At 39.1% G+C, this 27574-nt stretch overlaps 1 protein-coding gene and 1 long non-coding RNA gene across 3 annotated transcripts in view, besides 3 other annotated features; one reads left to right on the forward strand and one right to left on the reverse strand.

Moving 5' to 3' along the window:
• The window catches only part of NREP (neuronal regeneration related protein), a 248131-nt gene extending 245126 nt beyond the window's left edge, over nt 1–3005 (reverse strand). The window contains exons 1-2 of one of the 2 annotated variants that reach the window (NM_001142474.2): nt 2783–3005; nt 1377–1451 (exon numbers count right to left, since the gene is read on the reverse strand). In NM_001142474.2, coding sequence (NP_001135946.1) covers nt 1377–1451; nt 2783–2812 — 105 coding nt within the window. In that variant the 5' untranslated portion in view covers nt 2813–3005. Of the gene's footprint in view, nt 1–1346; nt 1452–2782 lie in introns of both variants that reach the window. The other variant, NM_001142475.2, reaches the window with a different exon arrangement.
• Nucleotides 1–27574, forward strand: part of NREP-AS1 (NREP antisense RNA 1) — a 104799-nt gene that overhangs the window by 61420 nt on the left and 15805 nt on the right. Inside the window, exon 3 of the long non-coding RNA NR_046678.1 lies at nt 448–579. This is a non-coding gene — a long non-coding RNA (NREP antisense RNA 1). The remainder of the gene's footprint in view (nt 1–447; nt 580–27574) is intronic.
• Nucleotides 17231–17732: an enhancer, noted in NCBI's record as "H3K4me1 hESC enhancer chr5:111326855-111327356 (GRCh37/hg19 assembly coordinates)". NCBI's record gives its function as "activates a minimal SCP1, AML or CMV promoter by ChIP-STARR-seq in primed H9 embryonic stem cells {active_cell/tissue: H9 hESC(primed)}" and the evidence as "EXISTENCE:reporter gene assay evidence [ECO:0000049][PMID:30033119]".
• Nucleotides 17733–18232: an enhancer, noted in NCBI's record as "H3K4me1 hESC enhancer chr5:111327357-111327856 (GRCh37/hg19 assembly coordinates)". NCBI's record gives its function as "activates a minimal SCP1, AML or CMV promoter by ChIP-STARR-seq in primed H9 embryonic stem cells {active_cell/tissue: H9 hESC(primed)}" and the evidence as "EXISTENCE:reporter gene assay evidence [ECO:0000049][PMID:30033119]".
• Nucleotides 23575–24774: an enhancer, noted in NCBI's record as "BRD4-independent group 4 enhancer chr5:111333199-111334398 (GRCh37/hg19 assembly coordinates)". NCBI's record gives its function as "activates an origin of replication core promoter dependent on BRD2, P300/CBP, MED14 and CDK7 cofactors, and independent of BRD4, by STARR-seq in HCT116 cells {active_cell/tissue: HCT116}" and the evidence as "EXISTENCE:reporter gene assay evidence [ECO:0000049][PMID:35650434]".

A 27574-nucleotide genomic window follows, 5' to 3' on the forward strand; every position in this document is an offset into this window, starting at 1 on the left:
TTTTGGAAATATTTCCCCAAAGTATGTACACATATATCAGTACACATACACACTCTATTTCAGTTCTCCAATACTGAACATTTTCTCTGTGCTCTGACTGCTACAATAAGCACTTGACTGCAAGAGTTTATACACAAGCTAAAAAATGCTCACTGCTGAGTTCTCTCATTTTGCCTTCCTACCGTGACTGTGTTTTCCCTTTCTACAGTGAGTGTGTTCTGTATAGTGTCCGTGTTCCTCAGTCTTTATTTCTGCCAATTATTCTGGGTCTGGTCAAGCACTTTAACAGCTAACAAAATGTTTGGAATTAATAGAGGTGGGCTTGCATCCAAGAATGCAAGGAAAATATCATGCTGTATTATTTATTTAAGTTGTAAGGCAGCTGGTGTTACCCTCAAAGAAATAGATGTGGAAACAGGGTAAAGCTCAAAAGACAATTTCTTTCAGGGATTGGTGGAAGCACGGTGACATTAGAACGCATCATAAACATATCTGTAGCATGGGACAATTGACCTGCCTAGAAGACGACTGGGCCAGGAGCATGACATAATTTCAAGTCAGTTGAAGAAAATAGAAAAGGTATTCAACATCAACATAAAATGCCAGGAATGCTTGGTCTTGACAGCTGTGCTATAACAACCTTGTATGACATTAATTAAGTTAGCAATCCTATGTTCCAATATACATCCTCGTTGACAAACAGGGTGTATGTGTACAATACAGTAGCATCTTCCTATAAAACTCATCACTATAAGAACTACTGCTGTTCAATTTAACCTAATTCTAAAATTCTTACTCAGCTAAAATGAGTTATTATATTTAAGTTCATTTCCCATTGTACTTTCAAGATTCTTACATACCTATAAAATGATAGTTGGCAACATCATATTTATCAAAACTGAGTAGCTACAATGTTTAAGGCACTGCAGAGACAGAAAGCTAAGACATACCGTCTCAGTACTCAAGGAGTTTGGAGAAAAGGAAAGAGCCAGTGATCACATACTGAGAACAAAGACCACGTGAGTTCCAAGAATGGAGGGAATGCTGAGGGCTGAGGTGGTTGGCCAGAGGTGTACAATGGTAGAGGGACTTGGGATGGATGCTAAGTAAGGATTGCACTTCCACAGGGAATGAAGTGATGGCAGTTACAATGCAGAGATGCAGAGGAAGGCACACAAATGGGGTTTAGGAAATAGGCTGAAAAGCCTGAATTAATGGAAAGGCTTTCACGGGGCAATGGTGGGAATGACTGCACCAGTTCAGGAATCACTTGGTTGCATGTGATGGAAACCCAACTTGAACTAGCTTAACAAACACGAGCAAATCAGGATAGCAGTTTGTCTTACACAATTCAGAACAGAAATCTGGCAGTGAACCTGGAAACATTTGGAACAAGGGACTCTGTCTGTCATCCTGCTCCTCTGGGTTCGTGTTTCATCTTCTCTTCGGCTCTGCAGACAAGACACATGGTAGAAAACGTGAGCACTGACCCCCCTGAGTGCCACAACTCACAGCTCCAGCAATTCAGAGAGGAGGAGAATGGGCATTGTTCTCATTTCTAAAATGAGAAGGACACTGACTGGCCAGGGTATAGGATCAGTTTATTTCCATGAAGACTCTTTTGAGAAGCCCAGAGATTAACTCAAGGGATGTAGGGTACTTTAGAAAGGGGTGTGGTTCTAAAAAAGGTGTTTGACAAAGAAAATGGTTATACTAAAAATGCATACATATTACATAGAAAAACAGTATCCATAAACATAGATATTCATTAAAATTTTCAAATGCCATATTTTCCATTTCTTAACCTCCTCAATTTGAAATTACAAATGCTTAAAACCTGACATCAAAATGTCAACCTGAAATAGAATTGATTCATTCCTGTTATTCTTCCCCAAAAATAGTTAATTTCACCTGCAATTATTAGAACAAAATGCTGAAGTAGATTTATCTTAAGGACTCACTGATGCTTTGTATTCTTTGTCAGTGTCTCACTATATCCACATTTCTTCCTCCTGCTTGTTTTTCTTTATTGAACTAAACCAGCATATCTAATTCTTTTACAAATTAATCTGCTCTTCTTGTTAGAGTGAAACCTTTTTATAATGATAATTGAAAGAAACCCCCAAAGTATAGATTAACTATGTTGTATCAGGATTTTATTGTGCATATTGTTTTGAGATCTAACATTTTATCAGTTTCTTATAATAAACCATATTATAAGGAGTAATTACTGCCTTCATTCAGAAAAGATTATACAATAGCTTTTGACTTAAATAGGAGCTCTGCATATTTCAATGCTGTAGTGAAAAACTATAGGTAGAAGCATGATAGAAAAACTAATATTTGTTCTATGGCATCTCTGACATTTTAAGAGGTATAGGTTCTACAGCCAACATTCCCCTTAAAACAATTTTGATGTTTGTTTCCTGGAACATTCCTCTTTGCCATATCCAATCCCTTCATCCCAGGTCTGTTACACCATGTACCCCAAAAGCTGAGGCTCAGCCTCCTTGGAAGCAGGAACCTCCTCTGACTCATGTGGCACTGTATCCCAGTACCTTCAGCAGTGCTGAGGCCAGAGAAGACAATAAGCAAATATTGAATAAATGAACGAATTACATAAAATATTTGTATTCATAAACAGAGTCAAAACATCCTTCAAGCAAAATGAACAAGGTTAAAATGGAGAGGTCAGTGAGGCAGAGACAAACATCCTATAATTGTTTTCTTCCTTTAAAAATGTCCCCTCATATGCATACACAGTAAGTTATTCTTCACATACCAAAGCAGAATAATTCCAAACTCCTTTCATTCCAGTCCTGTTACTGCTTGAGGATAAAGTTCAGTCTTTAAAGGACAAAGAAGCTTCTTGCCGGGAGTTGGCCAGACAGCTCAGGACACAGCTCTGCAGCCCATTCTGATTGTCCAATGTTTCTTTTGATAAATAGCATGATTGCACTGCCTGGAAAAGTAATTCCTTCTAGATGCTGGCAACAGTCATTCTGAACCATAAAAACTGTACAAGGAAATGATGAGAGTGTCAGCAAACTCAATCAGTAGGATGAGATCAGCTTTTATTGGGCTCCTTGGATAACCAGACAGCTCATAGCATGCTCCATGAATCAAATCTGCCCAAGCCCCAACATCTAGTTTCATACAGCACACCACATGTCCTTCTGCTACCCCAAGACATTGGCCTAATTCGCAGAAATGAAGAGCATATGGTGGGAGGGAGGGAAAGGGCAGACTCTAGAAGTTTGAGGTATGTATGGGGCAATCCAGGGGGAGATATGCATTAGTAGATATAAAAGGCTAGAGATCAGTGATGACCTAAATCATAGCTAACATGTATTAAACACTTGCTAGGCACTGTGCTAAGAGCTTAGCCTATGTGACTTTACTTAGCCCTTGCAACAATTCTTTGATATGCTCTGCTTTATTCTTCATTTTACACACAAGGAAAAAGAGCCTAAGTGAGATTAAGCAACTTGTTCATAACTAATAAATGATAGCATTAGAACCTGAGCCACTGTCTTTCTGAATCCAGAGTCTGTACCCTTAATCCCCACATACACTGTCCTATAGAAAAAAGTTCTAAGCTGAATCTCCTTTTTCCCTACCTCCCATCACAGCCAGCCTTCTTATGGCCATTGTTTCTCTACTTTGAATTCAGTTTAATCAGTCTCCAATGACAGCCGTCACTTCCCATCCTCATCACTCCACTGAACCTGCTATGAGTGTACCAGTTAGGATGTTTAGGAATGCAACTAGCAGAATACCCAAACAGAGAGAAGCCTATATAAAAGGGTTGTTTTATTTTTTTCTCCCAGAATAGGAAAGCCCAAAGCTGAACAGGCCTATGAGTTGTTCAGTAGCTCAATAATGTTATCGAGGACCCAGGCTGTTTCTTTCACCCTACCCTCTTGTACACATTGGCTTCATCCTCCAGCCTGTTGCCCAGTGATTGCAAGACAGCTGCACTCCCTCAACTGTACCCAAACTGAGGAAAGAAGGAAGGAATAGGAAAATACCACTGCTTTTGCACTTTTTTCATTATATCAGGCAAGAAATCAGTCATATTTTACCTATGTCTCACTGGAAGTGTGTTTTAGGGCTGTCTGTAGCTGAAAGGGATGCTAGGAAAGAAACGTGTCTGGCATTTTTATAGTCTCAGTTGTGGGAGGCAGGTTCAAGGATCCAGCAACATTAAAGAAGAGGAAGGGCTCTTGCTCTTTAGAAGCTTTTGTTTCCTCTTGAGTAAGCAAAGAGAAGTGTCTGCCACCTCCCTGCTAATTCAGAGGACTACATATGGTAGAGATTTCTCGTGTTCACCAGCATCTGTGTCCTTTTCTTCTTCATGGGTTCTACGTTCCTCAGCCCTTTGGAATCTAGAACAACAGAATGTGATCAAGCGGCAGGATCACATAGGTTGAAAGAGTTAAAAATGGAGGTACCTTCTTCATAACTTCTCCTTTATCCAAATGCAAAAGATTCCGTGGAGGATTAGGGAGTCATAGAGCTTCAAACTGGAAGTAAGCTGGATCGCTGGATGACAGCATGGAGCACAGCCCCAAATCTACTCTGCTGTGTAACATGGAAAAGGAATATATTATGTTAAGCCACTCAGATGTGAGGGTAGTTTGTTACCGCAGTTAACCTGACTTGACTAAACAGAACATACATTTTTTGGAAATGAGAAATATCCTATACGTTCAACAAGCAAAAAAGCCTATCCCCTACTGCTTCATTAATTTGCAATGTCTTTCAGGTCTCTGTAGGTATCTCAACCCTAGAATAATATAAAGTGTGGAAGAAGAAAAATAGGTTATAACAATGGCAATTCAAGTAAAATTGGTTGGGGAAGCCAAGAATTGTAGAAAGAGGATGCAAGTCCCATTACTGGGTATATTCCCAAAGGATTATAAATCATGTTGCTATAAAGACACATGCACACGTATGTTTATTGTGGCACTATTCACAATAGCAAAGACTTGGAACCAACCCAAATGTCCATCAGTGATGGACTGGATTAAGAAAATGTGGCACATATACACCATGGAATACCATGCAGCCATAAAAAAGGATGAGTTCATGTCCTTTGCAGGGACATGGATGAAGCTGGAAACCATCATTCTCAGCAAACTATCACAAGGACAAAAAACCAAACACCACATGTTATCACTCATAGATGGGAATTGAACAATGAGAACACATGGACACAGGAAGGGGAACATCACACTCCGGGGACTGTTGTGGGGTGGGGGGATGGGCGAGGGATAGCATTAGGAGATATACCTAATGTAAATGACGAGTTAATGGGTGCAGCACACAAACATGGCACAAGTATACATATGTAACAAACCTGCACGTTGTGCACATGTACCCTAGAACTTCAAGTATAATAAAAAAAAGAAAGAAAGAAAGAAATGGGTGCAAGATGTGTGCCTGGAGAGGGTAGGAAGAGAAATGAACAGAGGAAATCTATTTCACAATTTTTCTCTTCTCCTCTACTCAGCTACCCCTCCCTCTCACATACACATTCCTCTCTCTTTTATATTCAGTCTCTGCATATCATTTGCACTTTTTTACTTGTAGATCTTGAAACATTCTTTGGAGTTTTATAAATTCCCTATTAACATGAAACTTAAGATTCATGACATAGCCATTAAGAATAATGCCAACCTAGCCTCCCTAGCTAAAGAGATCTTCTATTTGGGAGAAAATGACTGAGGTCTAGAGCAGGAATTTTCACTTGGTCTGAATTAGGTTTTTGGAAAAAAACACAGAGTCACTCAGGCTAAGTCAAGGTAAGGGGGATAACTATAAAAAGATACAAAAACAGAGACTTCCTAGGAATCCACAAACAGAAAAAAAAAAAAAAAACCCCACAAATACAAAAGTTGCACTGGGGACTTCAACAGCAAAATTTCCACATCTTCTCTTTAATGGCCATACTATTAAAGGATATACTATCAATTACTCTCTACATTTCCTGTTTCTGTTGTTATAGCTTCTTAATTCTCCTGTAATAATAATAAGCTGTTTCCTCAACATCTACCTAGTAGCATTTTTCTACATTAATACCTCTACTTACTTACTGCTTCTTTCTTTATAACTTCTATTTGTTCATAACCCCCCACAGCTCCTATTCTTTCTCATGACATTTATGCATGTATAATTTTATCTTCTCCTCAACTGCACCATCAGCTCCTACTGCTACTTGGCTTAGTCTAGCTCAGTCGACTATGGACAGGTGGAGGCAGACATTTGTCATACTGCAAATGTCTATCTAGGGCCCAGCGGCCATGGTCCTAACAAATACTGGGATGGACATAACCAGTGTAACATTTACCGAGCTATTAATTCTCAATAGATAAACTTCACAGACCTGTGTTACGTAGTTTTATCAGTGTTCAAGCTTTCGCTTGTGTGAATAGGCAAGGCAGCTATATACGCATTCTTTGGCAAATATTCATAGGCATTGGCTAACTTTAGGTTTTGAGCCCTGCTGGGGGACAATATGTATACAACTACATAAGTATACATAGTTGTACTTTGTAAGTACACATAGTTGTATACATAAAGACCTAAATGAATTACACAGTACACCCTTCTCTTACCACTTTCATCTACTAAGGCTACCTGTTATGCACTCATCCAACAATTTTTAAAATACAGGTAAATGTCAACTTTTCTTATAAAGTAATATATGCAAATGGAAAATTTCAAATATTATACAAGAATACTAACAAACTACACGTCTCCCTGACCTCCTACCCAAGGCTCCTATTACCCCTCCCTAAAGGTAGCAACTATGCTTCCATAATTTTTATACAAACAAATTCAAATGTAAATGGGAAAAGGTAGCTAAAGGTGAAATAGGGAAGAAAAGCAATCATACTCAATTTATTTGGACAATTGCAGGGGCCTTATGGAGCTGAAGAGTGGGCTCCTTTTCTTCCTCTAAGAGGCCTAATGAGTCTCACTGTCTTGCTAGAAACCTCAGAGGGAAAATTCCACAATGCAGAACTGATTGCCTCCATCAGATCCGAGTGAAAGTTCTTTGTGCAAGTCAGATAGCACCTTTTAGGCGGTCGCCAAAATATACAAGAATTGGTGGGTAAAAGCTAGCTGGTGTCAAAGACCAGATTTTATGTCCCATTAAATAAGACTGCTGCAGGAGGAAAAACCTGTCCATTCAGTAGGAAACTCCCAGATGTTCAGTCTGATAAATTGGAATCCCATCTAGCCCTTTTGTCCTCCCACCATCATTTATAAATGTCAGTAAATATTTCTCTCTTCAAATAACAAACATCGAAGGTCTGAGTCAAAATAGATTTTGTTGCTTCAGGAAATCTCATAAAGTTTGCGATGATGGAGGCAATGCCCACTGCTCTGTTCTTATGATAAAAATCTCTAAAATTACTAAGGACCATCTAAAACCTCTAAGGGGACCCTGTGTAAGTTTCTTGCCTCCTCATAATTCTCTCTTACCCTTTTAGTCTAGGTAACACACTTCTGTTTGCCTCTCCTGTACTAAATTCCCAATTCTCCAGTAGTGTCCTGCATTGCCCCACAAGAGAAAGTTAATCTCTTACTTTCAAAATGTAAAAGATGTAGGGCCAGGCACGGTGGATCACGCCTGCAGTCCCAGCACTTTGGGAGGCCAAGGCAGCCAAATTGCTTGAGATCAAGAGTTTGAGGGCAGCCTGGTCAATATGGCCAAACCCTGTCTCTACAAAAAATAAAAAAATTAGCTAGGTGTGGTGGCACGTGCCTGTAGTCCCAGCTACTTGGGAGGCTGAGGCACAAGAATTACTTGAGCCTGGGAGGCAGAGGTTTCAGTGAGCCAAGACCTTGCCACTGCACTCCACCCTGGGCAACAGAGCAAGACTCTGTCTCAAAAAAGGAAAATATTTAAAAATAAAAGATGTAGTTAACCCTGCAAAAGCTGATACCATGCCACTTCTTTTTTTTTTTTTTTTTTTTTTTTTTGAGACGGAGTCTCGCTCTGTCACCCAGGCCGGACTGCAGACTGCAGTGGCGCAATCTCGGCTCACTGCAAGCTCCGCTTCCCGGGTTCACGCCATTCTCCTGCCTCAGCCTCCCGAGTAGCTGGGACTACAGGCGCCCGCCACCGCGCCCGGCTAATTTTTTTGTATTTTTAGTAGAGATGGGGTTTCACCTTGTTAGCCAGGATGGTCTCGATCTCCTGACCTCATGATCCACCCGCCTCGGCCTCCCCAAGTGCTGGGATTACAGGCGTGAGCCACCGCGCCCGGCCACCATGCCACTTCTTAATGATGATCTAGGACATGATTCACCAAACTATAACCCACCGGTAAAATCTGGTTGTGTAAATAACACTTTATTGGAAAACAGCCACATTCAATTGTTTACATATTGTCTGTGGCTGCTTTTGCACTACAATGGCAGCACTGAGTAGATCTAACAGAAACTATATGGCCCACAAAGCCCCAAATACTTACCATCTGGCCCGTACAGAAAGAGTTTGTTTACCCTTGATGTAGGAGGTTGGATGGGGCAATCTATCTTCAATGTACTTTTAGCAAAACACATAAGATTTGACAAACAGTGGCCTTAATGTAAGACTACTGCTTATCTCACCTAAAGTCTAGAGGTAGGCAGGCCCAGTTGGTTCACAGATTGAACAATGACCTCAGAGACCCTGGATTTTTACCCTCTCCCATTCTGCCATCTTTATCAGATTGATTTACCACTTCAGAGTTTCCAGATAGCTACAATAGCCACAAGCATCCTCTTAGGACAGCAACCAAGACAGAAGAAATGGAAAGGGCAAAACAGATATTTTCTTATGAAATTCTTTATCATGAAAAAAAAGTTTTCCCAGAAAGCCTTGGTAGAAATTCTCAAATTGTTTTGCATGCATAGCCTTGGACCAATCACAAAGTGTACTGAGGTTTGCCATGGTGGGTTTGGAGCCAGGGTTGTCATGCCTGGTTGCATATTAGAATTATCAGCAAAGTAACTAACAAATTAGAAAACATTAACATCTGTGCCCTATCTCACTCCAATCATGGCAGACTCTTTCAGGTGGTTCCTAGTAGTGGTATTTTTCTTTTCTTTAACTCTTAAGAAGATTCTAATAGGTAACCAGGAATGAGAACCACCAGTTGAACTAATCATCATTCATTTCCTGGGGCTGAACATGTTTCTACATGAAAAAAAGCAGGGTTTATTGTATGGGAAGAAAAAGGAACAACTGGGTGGCTTCTGGGTAGGCGATCAATGAAGTTTGTCACAGTCATCTACATAGATACTGAAGCAATTCATATAAATGGTGGACTTGGGGGAAAGAGACTGGGAGCCAGAATCCACCCAGAATCTTCCATGAATGAGGGGGAGCACCTAGAAAGTTTATGGGTAACCCCTTCAAGCAGGGTAAAGGTCCATGAACTTCATTGGAAAAAAAGCCTACATGTAAAGATCACAGGAGACGGAGGTGTTGAGGGAGGGTAGGAATGTAGGAAAGAAAGGAGTGCTAAGGATACAATTAGTTCAATATTGGGCATATTGAAAGTAAAGTGTCTGTTATTTCAAGGTTGAGGTATCTAAAAGACTTACCAGTCTAGAGTTCAGAAAAGAAGTAAACTGCATTCTTTCTAGGACATTTTTTAGAACAGGTGGCTACTAAGAATTTCCCCAGGAAATTGGCTTAAACTGGAAATGTCCCAAGAAACTACTATCTATGGGGATGATGAAATCATGAATCGGAGGTTGTTCTGTGAGATGCTTAAAATACAAAGAAAAGTAAATATCTGCACCTTGAGATACAACAAACATAAATCAAACCTAATGCCAACTGTTAAGACTGTCAATTTATCCTGAACCCCTTCTAAAGATAACAGACATTTTGATATTTTACTTGACACATTTCAAGCTTTGATGGTAAAAGGAAATCACACTATTTTCAACTAATAAGAATAATAAAATTAGCAGGACAAATCCAAGACTTCCAATTCCAAATCCCTTGGATTGAATCCTCACTTAATCCAAGCTCTGATTTGCACATGACTGGTAACTGCAAAATCTGAGTGACCTTTTCATCTCCAATGAAACGCCCTGGGAAAATTGTTTTCCTTGCGCTCATTTCAAAACAGTAACTGCTCTACTTCATTTAAGATTCCTTGTCAAGGGAATTCAATTAGCATCAGCCTGAGGTTACCTCAGGACTTCTTAAAGTTTTTTATCCTGTGAAGTCCCTTGGGTTTTCCATGACTCACATCTACTGTCCACACAAAATAAGTTCACATTTCATCTTACAAATTCTGAGGTATTTCTGGTCTCCCCCTCACTATCACATCAAATCTGAAAGGAGGAAGTGCCCAAGGGGAGGGAGTAGGTGGTGAATGCCAGGTCACCCATAGTTCACTGCCTTTTCCCCAAGCAGCTATCCAGAGCACAGGGGCTGCGTCTCTGTGGCTTCCTGAGAATAGCCCATGATCTCCCTATGGGTCAACTCCCAGTTTAGAAAACACTGGGAAAATACTGAACGTCTGCTTTGTATAAAGACAGACTCTGAGTTAAATAGAACCCAGGAATGCTGAAACAATAACATTTGACAAATTTGCTCTACTAATAGCATAAAAATCTCAGCTTATCAATGGGAAAATATTTATTGCTTGCTATTATTAAAATTAAACAGGCCATCTTCATTGAACTATCATAAGATGAAAATTCCATTTATTCAGCCTCTAGTTCAACAAGTACTTGAGTGCCTACTATGTGCAAGACACAAGGTGACTAAAACACAATTCCTACTTTTCAGTAAACAAAAAAACTAAAAAAAAAAAACCCTTGCCAAAAACATAATATGATGCTATAATATGTCACAAAGGTGTCAGGGTGTGCCTGATTATATCTATAGGATTGCTATGATAGGCCTGCCAGAAATCCAACCACATGAGGCTCTTTCTAGGACGGCATCACGAGGACAGCATCAGGCAGGTAAGTCTGGCACTTCTGTACCTTCCTGGTCAGAGGGTAAGTGCAATTCTGACAGCCTATGGCTGTCAATTGGATGTTTGCTCTGTTCTTTGAGTAAAAACAGAAACAGCTGTTTTTACTAACATAAGTGATATTGGGCCAGATAGGAACACATCTTGGTACACTTTTCCCAAAAAGAAAGATTAATATCACCAAATTGTAAACAAATTTAGTCATTCAACAAATATTTATCAAGAGCCTACAATGTAGCGCAGTCACAAAGTTGAGGCCTAAGGAAAACAGGTAACACATGAATAATCTGCAGGCAACAGGAAGTAATCAATCTGATATATTTACAATTAATGAGATCTCATTGGAACAGAGTGTCCAATTGGTGACAAATTTTTAAAAGATGTGTGGAAACTAGAGCAGATTCAAAGTAAAATAGTAAGAATGATTAACAAAGAAAATTAGGTTACATAGGAAAAGGTTATATTAGAGTTCCTTAACTTAGAGAAGACTAAGGGCTGACTTGATTATCATCTTCATGACTGAGAGAGGCTTGATGCTGTTTTCCTTAAAGGCTCAGATGTGAGACAATGGGATAAAATTAAAGCATGTGTTTAGCCATTGATCCAATCAATAAACACACATAATAGGGGTATCTGCCTTGTTACGTAAAACAACAGAAGATTGTAGAAGCACGAAGAGAGTACAACATAGTCCCTGCTAATGAAAGGCATTTCATTTGGACATAGAACATAATTCCATAAAAAATCAGTTGATAAAACTCAAGAATTGGCTGAAGGAGAGTATGTAATATGAATAAATGCCTAGACATTGTCAAGAAGAAAATCGATTGCTACTCCAGATCATCACAATCAGGGCATAGAGCGAGATAATAACTCAAGTTTCCTTATACATTTGTGATACTAGAATCTGCACCCTAGTTTTACAGTCAACAGTTCCCTACAAAGTGACATTAAAAGTGATATATAACTATGATGTAAATAACTGGATTTATATTTGACCACTGACTAATATTATGATTTCATGTCATATATTCTTATGTCCATTTCTTTTTTTTATTTTATTTTTTATTTTTTTATTTTATTATTATTATACTTTAAGTTTTAGGGTACATGTGCACAATGTGCAGGTTAGTTACATATGTATACATGTGCCATGCTGGTGTGCTGCACCCATTAACTCGTCATTTAGCATTAAGTATATCTCCTAAAGCTATCCCTCCCCACTCCCCCCACCCCACAACAGTCCCCAGAGTGTCATGTTTCCCTTCCTGTGTCCATGTGTTCTCATTGTTCAGTTCCCACCTATGAGTGAGAATGTGCGATGTTTGGTTTTTTGTTCTTGCGATAGTTTACTGAGAATGATGATTTCCAATTTCATCCATGTCCCTACAAAGGACATGAACTCATCATTTTTTATGGCTGCATAGTATTCCATGGTGTATATGTGCCACATTTTCTTAATCCAGTCTATCATTGTTGGACATTTGGGTTGGTTCCAAGTCTTTGCTATTGTGAATAGTGCCGCAATAAACACACGTGCGCATGTGTCTTTATAGCAGCATGATTTATAGTCCTTTGGGTATATACCCAGTAATGGGATGGCTGGGTCAAATGGTATTTCTAGTTCTAGATCCCTGACTTCCACACTGACTTCCACAATGGTTGAACTAGTTTACAGTCCCAACAGTGTAAAAGTGTTCCTATTTCTCCACATTCTCTCCAGCCCCTGTTGTTTCCTGACTTTTTAATGACTGCCATTCTAAATGGTGTGAGATGGTATCTCATTGTGGTTTTGATTTGCATTTCTCTCATGGCCAGTGATGGTGAGCATTTTTTCATGCGTTTTTTGGCTGCATACATAAATGTTTTCTTTTGAGAAGTGTCTGTTCATGTCCTTCGCCCACTTTTTGATGGGGTTGTTTGTTTTTTTCTTGTAAAGTTGTTGGAGTTCATTGTAGATTCTGGATATTAGCCCTTTGTCAGATGAGTAGGTTGCGAAAATTTTCTCCCATTTTGTGGGTTGCCTGTTCACTCTGATGGTAGTTTCTTTTGCTGTGCAGAAGCTCTTTAGTTTAATTAGATCCCATTTGTCAATTTTGGCTTTGGTTGCCATTGCTTTTGGTGTTTTAGACATGAAGTCCTTGCCCATGCCTATGTCCTGAATGGTAATGCCTAGGTTTTCTTCTAGGGTTTTTATGGTTTTAGATCTAACGTTTAAGTCTTTAATCCAAGTTGAATTAACTTTTGTATAAGGTGTAAGGAAGGGATCCAGTTTCAGCTTTCTATATATGGCTAGCCAGTTTTCCCAGCACCATTTATTAAATAGGGAATCCTTTCCCCATTGCTTGTTTTTCTCAGGTTTGTCAAAGATCAGGTAGTTGTAGATATGCGGCGTTATTTCTGAGGGCTCTGTTCTGTTCCATTGATCTATATCTCTGTTTTGGTACCAGTACCATGCTGTTTTGGTTACTGTAGCCTTGTAGTATAGTTTGAAGTCAGGTAGCGTGATGCCTCCAGCTTTGTTCTTTTGGCTTAGGATTGACTTGGTGATGTGGGCTCTCTTTTGGTGCCATATGAACTTTAAAGTAGTTTTTTCCAATTCTGTGAAGAAAGTCATTGGTAGCTTGATGGGGATGGCATTGAATCTGTAAATTACCTTGGGCAGTATGGCCATTTTCACGATATTGATTCTTCCTACCCATGAACATGGAATGTTCTTCCATTTGTTTGTATCCTCTTTTATTTCATTGAGCAGTGGTTTGTAGTTCTCCTTGAAGAGGTCCTTCACATCCCTTGTAAGTTTGATTCCTAGGTATTTTATTCTCTTTGAAGCAATTGTGAATGGGAGTTCACTCATGATTTGGCTCTCTGTTTGTCTCTTATTGGTGTATAAGAATGCTTGTGATTTTTGTACATTGATTTTGTATCCTGAGACTTTGCTGAAGTTGCTTATCAGCTTAAGGAGATTTTGGGCTGAGATGATGGGTTTTCTACATATACAATCATGTCATCTGCAAACAGGGACAATTTGACTTCCTCTTTTCCTAATTGAATACCCTTTATTTCCTTCTCCTGCCTAACTTCCCTGGCCAGAACTTCCAACACTAGGTTGAATAGGAGTGGTAAGAGAGGGCATCCCTGTCTTACGGCCAGTTTTTGCCCATTCAGTATGATATTGGCTGTGGGTTTGTCATAGATAGCTCTTATTATTTTGAGATATGTCCCATCAATACCTAATTTATTGAGAGTTTTTAGCATGAAGGGTTGTTGAATTTTGTCAAAGGCCTTTTCTGCATCTGTAGAGATAATCATATGGTTTTTGTCTTTGGTTCTGTTTATATGCTGGATTACATTTATTGATTTGCATGTATTGAACCAGCCTTGCCTCCCAGGGATGAAGCCCACTTGATCATGGTGGATAAGCTTTTTGATGTTCTGCTGGATTTGGTTTGCCAGTATTTTATTGAGGATTTTTGCATCAATGTTCATCAAGGATATTGGTCTAAAATTCTCTTTTTTGGTTGTGTCTCTGCCAGGCTTTGGTATCGGGATGATGCTGACCTCATAAAATGAGTTAGGGAGGATTCCCTCTTCTTTTGTTGATTGGAATGGTTTCAGAGGGAATGGTATCAGTTCCTCCTTGTACCTCTGGTAGAATTCGGCTGTGAATCCATCTGGTCCTGGACTCTTTTTCGTTGGTAAGCTATTGATTATTGCCACAATTTCAGAGCCTGTTATTGGTCTATTCAGAGATTCAACTTCTTCCTGGTTTAGTCTTGGGAGGGTGTATGGGTCGAGGAATTTATCCATTTCTTCTAGATTTTCTAGTTTATTTGCATAGAGGTGTTTGTAGTATTCTCTGATGGTAGTTTCTACTTCTGTGGGATCGGTGGTGATATCCCCTTCTTCATTTTTTATTGCGTCTATTTGATTTTTCTCTCTTTTCTTCTTTATTAGTCTTGCTAGAGGTCTATCAATTTTGTTGATCTGGATTCATTAATTTTTTGAAGGGTTTTTTGTGTCTCTATTTCCTTCAGTTCTGCTCTGATTTTAGTTATTTCTTGCCTTCTGCTAGCTTTTGAATGTGTTTGCTCTTGTTTTTCTAGTTCTTTTAATTGTGATGTTAGGGTGTCAATTTTGGATCGTTCCTGCTTTCTCTTGTGAGCATTTAGTGCTATAAATTTCCCTCTACACACTGCTTTGAATGTGTGCCAGAGATTCTGGTATGTTGTGTCTTTGTTCTCGTTGGTTTCAAAGAACATCTTTATTTCTGCCTTCATTTTGTTACGTACCCAGTAGTCATTCAGGAGCAGGTTGTTCAGTTTCCATGTAGTTGAGCGGTTTTGAGTGAGTTTCTTAATCCTGAGTTCTAGTTTGATTGCACTGTGGTCTGAGAGACAGTTTGTTATAATGTGTGATCTTTTACATTTGCTGAGGAGGGCTTTACTTCCAAGTATGTGGTCAATTTTGGAATAGGTGTGGTGTGGTGCTGAAAAAAATGTATATTCTGTTGATTTGGGGTGGAGAGTTCTGTAGATGTCTATTAGGTCTGCTTGGTGCAGAGCTGAGTTCAATTCCTGGGTATCCTTGTTAACTTTCTGTCTGGTTGATCTGTCTAATGTTGACAGTGGGGTGTTAAAGTCTCCCATTATTATTGTGTGGGAGTCTAAGTCTCTTTGTAGGTCACTCAGGACTTGCTTTATGAATCTGGGTGCTCCTGTATTGGGTGCATATATATTTAGGATAGTTAGCTCTTCTTGTTGAATTGATCCCTTTACCATTATGTAATGGCCTTCTTTGTCTCTTTTGATCTTTGTTGGTTTAAAGTCTGTTTTATCAGAGGCTAGAATTGCAACCCCTGCCTTTTTTTGTTTTCCATTTGCTTGGTAGATCTTCCTCCATCCTTTTATTTGGAGCCTATGTGTGTCTCTGCACATGAGACGGCTTTCCTGAATACAGCACACTGATGGGTCTTGACTCTTTATCCAATTTGCCAGTCTGTGTCTTTTAATTGGAGCATTTAGTCCATTTACATTTAAAGTTAATATTGTTATGTGTGAATTTGATCCTGTCATTATGATGTTAGCTGGTTATTTTGCTCATTAGTTGATGCAGTTTCTTCCTAGCCTCGATGGTCTTTACCATTTGGCGTGATTTTGCAGTGGCTGGTACCGGTTGTTCCTTTCCATGTTTAGTGCTTCCTTCAGGAGCTCTTTTAGGGCAGGCCTGGTGTGACAAAATCTCTCAGCATTTGCTTGTCTGTAAAGTATTTTATTTCTCCTTCACTTATGAAGCTTAGTTTGGCTGGATATGAAATTCTGGGTTGAAAATTCTTTTCTTTAAGAATGTTGAATATTGGCCCCACTCTCTTCTGGCTTGTAAAGTTTCTGCCGAGAGATCCGCTGTTAGTCTGATGGGCTTCCCTTTGTGGGTAACCCGACCTTTCTCTCTGACTGCCCTTAACATTTTTTCCTTCCTTTCAACTTTGGTGAATCTGACAATTATGTGTCTTGTAGTTGCTCTTCTCAAGGAGTATCTTTGTGGTGTTCTCTGTATTTCCTGCATCCAAATGGTCGCCTGCCTTGCTAGATTGGGGAAGTTCTCCTGGATAATATCCTGCAGAGTGTTTTCCAACTTGGTTCCATTCTCCCCGTCACTTTCAGGTACACCAATCAGATGTAGATGTGGTCTTTTCACATAGTCCCATATTTCTTGGAGGCTTTGTTCGTTTCTTTTTATTCTTTTTTCTCTAAACTTCCCTTCTTGCTTCATTTCAGTCATTTCATCTTCCATCACTGATACCCTTTCTTCCAGTTGATCGCATTGGCTCCTGAGGCTTCTGCCTTCTTCATGTAGTTCTCGAGCCTTGGCTTTCAGCTCCATCAGCTCCTTTAAGCACTTCTCTGTATTGGTTATTCTAATTATACATTCGTCTAAATTTTTTTCAAAGTTTTCAACTTCTTTGCCTTTGGTTTGAATTTCCTCCTGTAGCTCGTAGTAGTTTGATCATCTGAAGCCTTCTTCTCTCAACTCGTCAAAATCATTCTCCGTCCAGCTTTGTTCCGTTGCTGGTGAGGAGCTGCGTTCCTTTGGAGGAGGAGAGGCGCTCTGCTTTTTAGAGTTTCCAGTTTTTCTGCTCTGTTTTTTTCCCATCTTTGTGGTTTTATCTATTTTTGGTCTTTGATGATGGTGATGTACAGATGGGTTTTTGGTGTGGATGTCCTTTCTGTTTGTTAGTTTTCCTTCTAACAGACAGGACCCTCAGCTGCAGGTCTGTTGGAGTTTGCTAGAGGTCCACTCCAGACCCTGTTTGCCTGGGTATCAGCAGCAGAGATTGCAGAACAGTGGATTTTCGTGAACTGTAAATGCTGCTGTGTGATCGTTCCTCTGGAAGTTTTGTCTCAGAGGAGTACCCGGCCGTGTGAGGTGTCAGTCTGCCCCTACTGGGGGGTGCCTTCCAGTTAGGCTGCTCAGGGGTCAGGGGTCAGGGACCCACTTGAGGAGGCAGTCTGCCCGTTCTCAGATCTCCAGCTGCGTGCTGGGAGAACCACTGCTCTCTTCAAAGCTGTCAGACAGGGACATTTAAGTCTGCAGCGGTTACTGCTGTCTTTTTGTTTGTCTGTGCCCTGCCCCCAGAGGTGGAGCCTACGGAGGCAGGCAGGCCTCCTTGAGCTGTGGTGGACTCCACCCAGTTGGAGCTTCCCAGGCTGCTTTGTTTACCTAAGCAAGCCTGGGCAATGGCGGGCGCCCCTCCCTCAGCCTCACTGCCGCCTTGCAGTTTGATCTCAGACTGCTGTGCCAGCAATCAAGGAGACTCCATGGGCATAGGACCCTCCAAGCCAGGTGTGGGATATAATCTCCTGGTGCGCCGTTTTTTAAGCCCATCGGAAAAGCGCAGTATTAGGATGGGAGTGACCTGATTTTCCAGGTGCCGTCTCTCACCCCCTTCTTTGACTAGGAAAGGGAACTCCCTGACCCCTTGCGCTTCTTGAGTGAGGCAATGCCTCACCCTGCTTTGGCTCACGCACGGTGCGCTGCACCCACTGTCCTGTGCCCACTGTCTGGCACTCCCTAGTGAGATGAACCCAGTACCTCAGATGGAAATGCAGAAATCACCCGTCTTCTGTGTCGCTCATGCTGGGAGCTGTAGACCGGAGCTCTTCCTATTCGGCCATCTTGGCTCCACCTCTTACGTCCATTTCTAATTGCTAATTAAAAGTGACACGTAACTACTTAGATTTGAGAAAAGTCAGGTGATAGTCTCCTTGGCAAAGAGATGAAAATGTAAACTCTGCATCAAGATTATTGCTACTAAACAGACTGCAGTTATAAAATGAGAAAGCTATTCAGAACATACAGTTTGTAACCTTTGGGAAATGGCTTCTTGTTGCCAGCATAATAGTCTGGAAGTTCATCCAAGATAAATGCAAATGCATTTATCAATAGTTTATTCCTTTTTATTGCTAAGTAGTATTCCATGGTATGTATTTACCACAGTTTATTCACTTGTTGAAGGACATCTGGGGTAATTCCAGTTTTTTATTATCACAATAAAGCTGCTATGAATGTCTGTGTGCAGATTTTTGTGTGAGCATACATTTTCATTTCTCTGGGATTGACACCCAGGAGTACAATTTTGGGTCATATGATAGTTGAATGTTTACATTTAAAAAAAAAAAAAAAAAAAAAAAGAAACTTTCAAACTATTTCCAGGATGCCTGTACCATTTTTCATTCCTACCAGCAATGTGTGGGTGATCAAATTTTGCAGCATTCTCACCAGCATTTGGTGTTGTCACAATTTTTAATTTTAGCCTAATGGGTGTATAGTGTTGTGTGTTTAGTTTTATTTTAAAAGGATAAATACACTGCTCTGGGAGGCAAGGGAGAGAGTGACTAAGTCCAGGGAGCAATGGATGTGGGAGTGTTGGGGGCAGTAGAGATCTGGTTAGGAAAGCTTCCAAAAAAAGGTAACATTTGGGTTGGGTGTTTTTGGTTTTTTAGACAGGGTCCCACTCTGTCACCCAGGCTGGAGTGCAGTGGCACAATCATGGCTCACTGTAGCCTTGATCTTTTGGGTGCAAGCAATCCTCCCAACGCAACCCTCCCCAACCCCGTAGCTGGGACTATAGGTGTAAGCCACCATGCTCAGCTGAGCTGGGCTTTTAAAAACTAAGTAGATGTTCAGAAACTGGAGAGAAAGGAAGAATACATCCAGCATAACGAATAAAATATTCAAAACCAAGGAGACATGTGAGAGCATAAAGCACGGAGAGAAGGTTTACATAGGTGGAGCCCAGCATGCCATGCTTGCACGAGGAGAGTGGGAAGAAAAAGGGAAAAGAGAAAGGAATCAATGCAGGTGGAAAATGACTTGTGTGTCATACCAGGGATTCCAGCTGTGTGCTGCAAGTACAAGGAAACCCTCTGGTATGATAAGGACAATGACAGGGCTGTTTCCATGCACTATTAACTATACCTCACAATGTCACCCGTATCTGTCCCCTCCCTTTCTTTTCTCACTATCATTCTAACTCAGAGGCTCACCATACCTTGCCTGGAGAACCCTGCTTCAATTAACCCCACCTACTGATACCAAAGTCATTCTCCTTAGTCTCAGAGCCCATAGTATGTTATTTCTCCTTCAGAAATCTTTGTTGGCTCTTTTCTCTGAGCAGAACAAAGTCTGAACTCCTGAGAGTGCATTTAACAGAGGTGATGTGGTGCTACTGTTTCCCTCTGAGAAGATAAGCTCCAGGTTTATGGGGCCGATTTCTATTCTCCATATGGGTAGTGCTTTTTACAGCTCCTAAGCTAGAAACCCATGTTTCCTCTACCTCCTTAGCCTACAGAAGTGCTCCTGATTCTGAAAGACTCAGGCTCAATGTCACTTGTTCTGTGAGGGTTATACTAATCCCCTTCCTTCCTCCACTCCCAAATTTATGCTAATCACTCTTACTTTGGGTTTCACCACTATTTTACTCATATCACCATTAAAGTGTTTATTTCATCCTACTTTGCATTACGGTTAGCCTACAAATTTTCTCCTCAAATAGACTGTAAACTATTTGATGCCAAGCTTTGTGATATGGATGTAAAGTAGAAACTTGAGTTGTGCATTTATTTAATATCAATGCACCTATGTGCCCAGGATTTGGTTATATCTTAGGGAAGGTATATAAACTCCAAAAGAGTGTAGAAACTAGGAAGGGGATACAATATGTTTAAAAAATAGTAACGTAAAGCAGAATATAATTTGTTTCTTAAAAAGCCAAAATTGACAAATGGGATCTAATTAAACTAAAGAGCTTCTGCACAGCAAAAGAAACTATCATCAGAGTGAACAGGCAAACTACAGAATGGGAGAAAAGTTTTGCAATCTATCCATCTGACAAAGGGATAATCTCCGGAATCTACAAAGAACTTAAAAAAATTTACAAGAAAAAAACAACATCATCAGAAAGTGGGTGAAGGATATGAACAGACACTTCTCAAAAGAAGACATTTATGTGGCCAAAAAACATATGAATAAAAGCTCATCATCACTCATCATTAGAGAAATGGAAATCAAAACCACAATGAGATACCATCTCACACCAGTTAGAAAGGCGATCATTAAAAAGTCAGGAAACAACAGATGCTGGAGAGGATATGGAGAAACAGGAATGCTTTTACACTGTTGGTGGGAGTGTAAATTAGTTCAACCATTGTGGAAGAGACAGTATGGTGATCTAGATCAAGGATCTAGAACCAGAAATACCATTTGACCCAGCAATCCCATTACTGGCTATATACCCAAAGGATTATAAATCCATCTACTATAAGACACATGCACACATATGTTTATTGCGGCACTGTTCACAATAGCAAAGACTTGGAACAAACCCAAATGCCCATCAATGATAGACTGGATAAAGAAAATGTGGCTCATATACACTGTGAAATACTATGCAGCCATAGAAAAGGATGAGTTCATGTCCTTTGCAGGGACATGGATGAAGCTGGAAACCATCATTTTCACCAAACTAACACAAGAACAGAAAACCAAACAACATATGTTCTCACTCATAAGTGGGAGCTGAACAATGAGAACACATGGACACAGGGAGGGGAACATCACACACCACGGCCTCTCGGGGTGTGGGGGGCTAGGGGAGGGATAGCATTAGGAGAACTACCTAATGTAGATGACGGGTTAATGACTGAAGCAAACCACCATGGCACATGTATACCTATGTAACAAACCTGCACCTTCTGCACATGTAGCTCAGAACTTAGAGTATAATAATAATTTTTAAAAAATTAGCCATATGTGGCAGTTCACATTTGTAATCCCAGCTACTCAGGAGAAGACTGAGGCACAATCATCACTTGAACCTGGGAAGTGGAGGTTGCAGTGAGCCGAGATGGCACCACTGCACTCCAGCCAGGACCACAGAGCAAGACTGTCTCAAATTTAAAAAAAAAAATTATTGATATATGATAAGAAATAAAACCAATTTTTCACCGTACAGAGTAAAAAAGAATAATGCAAACAAAAAGCCACATTTTCTCTATATGCCTCTAAAATGTGACTCTGTGTCTAACTTTATTTCATTTGAGGTTCTCCAGAAACATTTTCCCACAATTAAAAAAAAATGAAAACAAAAAGCAAAAAGCCAGGTTTGCAAAAACTGTGGCAAAGTCTACTTTAAACTTTTATTTTGCACTTATTTTTATTTAAAATAAACTGTAGTGTAAACTTGCTATTTTATCAAAATAATTAAACATAATGGAATATTAAAAACTATTTCTACACAGTAAGGACTCTAACAATAAAAGAAACCAAAAAGAACGTGGTAGTATAGTTTTTAAAATGCATAATATTTATGCAAACCTCAAATCCACTTCTGATAAATGTATGCAGATGTAAAAGGTGAGTAGCACATCAACAGTACTGCCAGTTCCGGACACTTTTCAAACACAAGGTCTCAAATGACAACACTCCCAAGAATGAGGTCATGGTGACCGTTCATTACTTCTAAGATGTGACCAAACTATCTGTAGTAGCTTTTAACAATAAAAATATAATCAGAATTCTTAGAACAAATATATAGGATGCAATAAAAAATTTATCCCTCAGTGATGTGTCAATGAATGTGTTGATCTCACTTGAATTTTATGCGAAAGACTTGACATCTCCTGCCTTTTTTTGGTAATTTACATAAGTTATCCTCTAAATCAAGATAAAGTAAATGTCACCTTTCTCTAATAGAATCAGTATTCTATTTCTACAGTGTAGTTATGGTACTCAATGTGTCTTCAATTTAACGAAAAGGAAAGAGGAATATATGTCATACTGACTTCCTAAAGTGTTTAAAATAAATATCACAAACATGTAAAGGCTAAAGTAGGATTACTGGGACCTCTTCTCCCCTGGACACACAATTATTAGGATTTGATGACTAGGACTGTATTTGGGGTTCTTATATAAACTAGGTTTTTATTGTTTCATTTTATTTCATCGGGTCAAGCAAATATTCTTTAACTGTAAAAGAAATTTAGAAATATACAGGTCATGACTTTTATTATCTTCTAAAATTATAGCTAGTATCTCAACTATATCTTTGGATAGGCCTTTAATCAATTTTTAATCACATTCTCTACAAGTACCAGGCACCGCAATCAAAATTTCCTTCTAACTTATTGGACCTGAAAGGAGCATAATCTTTTGGAAATTCCAACACACTCAGTTGAACACACAGATTTCCTCGAAGCCAAATTTTATTTTAGCACTCTTCTTTTCTGATTAGAAAATGAAAATGAAACATATTTAACCATTGTGTGTATCAAAGAAATTGAATGACTGTACCTCCAAAGGGAAGCTCTGCTGGCTGGACAATACCCACATAAACTAATGCTAGTGAGGTTCAGTGTAGCCAAAAGGGGAATTGCTTCTTATAAAAGTGATTTTTTTAATGTTTAATTTTTTTTTCAGTTTTTCCTTTTCCTTTAAGATTGAAGACAGTCTGAAAGAGTGTTATGAGGCTGAAAGAGTGTTATGAGGCTAAACAAAGGAACAAAGGAACACACTGGAGAGAAGAATCAGGGTGAAAAAAGAGCCATGGCAGGGAAATGCCATGAAAGTTTCTGATGAATCTATTTTATTGTATTAAAGTGTAATCAGAAAATAAATTCAAACAGGAAAGAAAGGAGAGAGCCTTCAAAAGTCTGCCATTGTTTCAAAAGCAGACCAAAAGAAAAGTAACACTAAATTAATGCTTCTCATCTGATTAGTGTTTGGAAATTACATTCCACTTTCACCTACATACTTTTTCTTTCCTAATACTTCAAAAAGGTAAAAAAGTTAGTTTCACACCACCTACCACTGCAGCGTTCAACTATAGGCATGGCATACCTTCTCTTCACGTCTCTCTGCAGAGAATCTGCCTTCTCTGTCTTTAAACATGCAAAGAGTAGTGGATTCAATCATCCATGGTGTGAAGAAAGTCTGCTAAGACTGCATGGATCCGACAAGATGGTGGATAGTTGACTTCCTGAGCATAACTAACCCTGCTGGTCAGAGCTTACGTCATGTACTGTATTGTAGACGCTGCACCTTTACTTCATATAACTTCTGATTATGCAATCGGTGTAAGATATTCCCTTAATGACACATTTGACAGGATTAAAGGGCACTCTGGGGGTTTCTCTACAAATAAGATAAATCTGTAAAATGTTATTGGCAAAATCTTTCTAATTAAATCCACATGAATGGGACAGCTGCAACTTTACTGCAAAACTCTTAGTGAACCCTTAGTTCTATTTGTGAAATTTAAGCCTTCAAACAATGATTGGGGAGTCAGAAATGAAAGATAACGGCTACCAATAGAGTTGGATTTGCAAAAATATTTTACATCTTTTTATAGTTTGTCATCTAAGACATGTTTAGTCTAAAAGCAGAAGCCATGAATATAATTTCTGTGGCCTGGGTGCTGGCCATATGAGACTCATATGGCCTCAGACAGAACACACTGAGTCAGCCTTGTGGTCTAGCGTGAGGAGCTCATATCCATGGAATGGAGCCCCACGTGCACCAAACAGCTAATGGAATTGAGTCATCAGTGTCTGTGGGCTAAGTCACTTGTTTCCAAACCAAGGAGCTCTTTAGAATACAGATTCCCAGACCACACCCTGGATCTAATACACCTACATCTCTGAGAGTAGGGCCCATGGATGTGTACTTTTCAAAGGCTTCACAGGTGATTAAGATAATCAGTCAAGTTTGAACCAGAGGACCAAATTAAAATTAATCTACGTGGGCATGAAGAGTGGGAGTAAGGTCTTCCATCTGCTCACAGACAAAAAAAAAAAGCCTCTAGAAGTCTGATTATTCACTTATTTCTCACCTACATGTTAGTGAGTTTGACTGATTAAATGATTTATTTTCTCTCTAAAAGCTCTAAAAATTTTCTTTTAATCTTGAGGTTGGAAATTTCAGTAGGATGTAGACACATAAGTGCACCCTTTTAATCTGAAGACTCAAATCTTCAGCTCAAGGGAAATTCCTCTGTTACCTCCTTTTCATCTTTTCCATTTACTATGTTCATGTTCTCTTTTCTGGAACTCCTGTTAAGTGTTTTTTAATTAATTATTTTCCTTGCATTAGATTTTTTTCTACTTTGCCAATCTATAACCACTGTTGTCTTCTCTAATTACTCATCTTCCTAAGAGCCTTATCTTTCTCCTCCTTCTCCTCTCCCTCCTTTTTCTTCTTTCCTTTTAATAGATAATCACCACTTGATTCTCTCTAAAGATCTGTAAAAAGTGTCTTTGGTTAAGTTTTCATCTGTTCCTTGAATTATTTATTTTATAACCTTGGATCAGTGGCTCTGTTAGTTCATCCTTGTCCTCCTATTGGTTTTCATCAATCCTCTGTGGTGATATAGGTCTGATGTTCCACCAGGTCTCAACTGTGAGTGAAAAGGCTACTTTTAGGTTCTATGTAAATATTTAAGGTGGGTCTACTGGACAGTGTCTGTTAAGTTTCCTGAGGCATGGACTGGCAGGTAGGCAAGGAGCTCATGCCCTCTCCTGACTGCCAGCCTAGGAAGGTGATGAGTTCAGCAGAGAAGCACTTCAAGGTTTAACCTCCTGACAGCAGAGTGCTCCTTTTTTTTTCCTGGCTTCATGCCCGTGGGCATCTCAAGTCAGTCCACAATCTGATCTTCTTCTTGCTCAGACCCGAAAGAGATTAATTTTGATAATACTTTTCAGACTTAGCCTGACATTGAGTTCTATTTGTGCTTGCCATTTAGTATAGTGGCGTAAATGATAGGACAGAACAGTTGTACTGTTCAGATTTTAGCTCCTGTTTAATTACTGTGATGGCTGTCACTTGATCTCCTTCTCTACATTAGGTCACTCTCAGCTTGGGGATTCTCAGGATTGTGTCCTTTCTAACTTGCAAAAATTCTCACAATTTTCTACCGGCTGATGACATTCTTTCTCTCTTGCCAACACTATTCTGAATTTCTCTCTCTTTCTCTCTCTCTCTCTCTCTGTGTGTGTGTGTGTGTGTGTGTGTGTAATCTTTTTTAGGTCACATAAGGAATTTAGGGCAGGAGGAGAGCTAGATGTGTGTTCAGTTCAATCTCCTCCTACAATACCCTCTCTTAGATTACTCCCATATTAAACCACTGACACATTTAACCACAAAAATACAATAACACAAACATTAAACCACATCATTCCTATAAGAAACAAGTTTTTTAAAAGCCATAAAGCTCCTAAGCTAATGATATTTGTTTCTTCATGAAAGCATAAATAGATGAATTACTTTTTATTTGACCATTCTTTTTTATTTTCTTTGTCAGCAAAAGCAGTTTTATCTGACCAGATGCCTTTTTTTGTAGAGGAATATCACTAGAATTGATCAATTAAACCATTTGGCTATATATAAAAGTTTCTATCATTTTCAAAATATTTTCAGAGTAACCTAAAGCAAATCTATCATTGTAACCTACTGTGTCATATAAATGTATAATACAAATGATGCTTACAGCAGATTGTAAAATATCTACATTAATCCTCAGTCCCTTTGATAGTTATAAACCATCTGCAGTTGCTAGTTACACAAAGAAACCATCTCATGCCAAAGCAGAACCACCAGCAAGGGTTACAAATTTATCTTAATCTGTATGCATACTTGCCTTGGAGATTGAATTTTGAAATCATATTATTTGCTATTTGTAAATGTCATTTAGTCACTATCTCCCAAACACCCAGAGTGAAGAGTAAGGAATCACTCATAAGTCACAAACTAATTCTATGTGTTCACTGCGACATTAATCTTAAATATACATATAATCCAATTGGAATGTAAGTTCAAAACTAAGGGCTTCAGAGTATCCTTACCCTATTTCCAATTTACCTGCCAAGGGCAAACTGGGCATGACACTTGACCTGTGACACAAATTTGCCTATCTTGCACTCATACATTCAGTTTGGTCTTGAGGTAATGAGACAGTATTCTACATAGATAAAAGTATGAAAGGAGAAAAATAAATTTTTATAGCGAAGAGTAAGTTGTCCAGATGCCTAAAACAACAAACTATATAATTAACCTGTGGGCCACAGGCCATGAAAGCAAGTTAAATGCATATCTAAAAATCAGGAGATGGGAATACAGCTGTTAATAATGCCAAAAAGTATGATTAGTCTTTTCTTTGTTAATTTATAGACATTTTAAAAATCAGTTATATATTAGGTCCCTTGAAATTATGAATTAATAACAAACCATCATTAAAGTAGAAAAAAATCATGAAGAAATCCAGGCATATGCGGGTGGAAGATCCTACAGTATACATGCAATGTAGGCCCCTGACAGAGAGCCAGCAATTGGATAATGTTAAAATGATACATAGGCCATAAGCAAAACAATACATTTTATATATATTAAATATATAAATACATATATTATATATTTATATATAATTTTTAAAAATATATAGCATATATATTTGATATATACTATATAGTCTATATAATATATATTTAATATTTATATTATATACATTTTTAAAAAAATTTAAAATATTTTCCAGTGAAGACACAAAACTCATGTCATGTTGAGTTCAGGGAGAGAAACAAATAATAACCTTTTATTTAGTGTGTAGAGATTATTTTTCAAATCTGAAGTGGTATGAGGATTTCAAGCAGGGAAATCTGAGGAATAAAGCATCCATGCAGTATAAATTTGCTAGGACCTCCACAAAAAAGAAACACTGGGTGACTTAAACAACAGGCATTTATTTTCTCACATTTCCAAAGGCTAGAAGTCCAAGGCCAAGATGTAAACAGCATTGCTTTCTTCTGAAGGGCTGTGAGGGGAGTGTCTGTTGCAGGCACCTCTGCTGGGCTCCTAGGTGGCTGTCTTCTTCCTGTGCCTTCACATCATCTTCTCTCTGTGTCAGTGTCCAAATTTCCTCTTCTTATAAGGACATCAGTCATGTTGGATTAGACTGGCCCTAATGACCTCATTTTAACTTAGTTGTCTTTGTAAATACCCTGTCTCGAAATATGGTCACATTCTGA

This window comes from Homo sapiens, chromosome 5 (genome assembly GCF_000001405.40).
Source record: "Homo sapiens chromosome 5, GRCh38.p14 Primary Assembly".
Taxonomy (NCBI): Eukaryota; Metazoa; Chordata; class Mammalia; order Primates; family Hominidae; genus Homo; species Homo sapiens.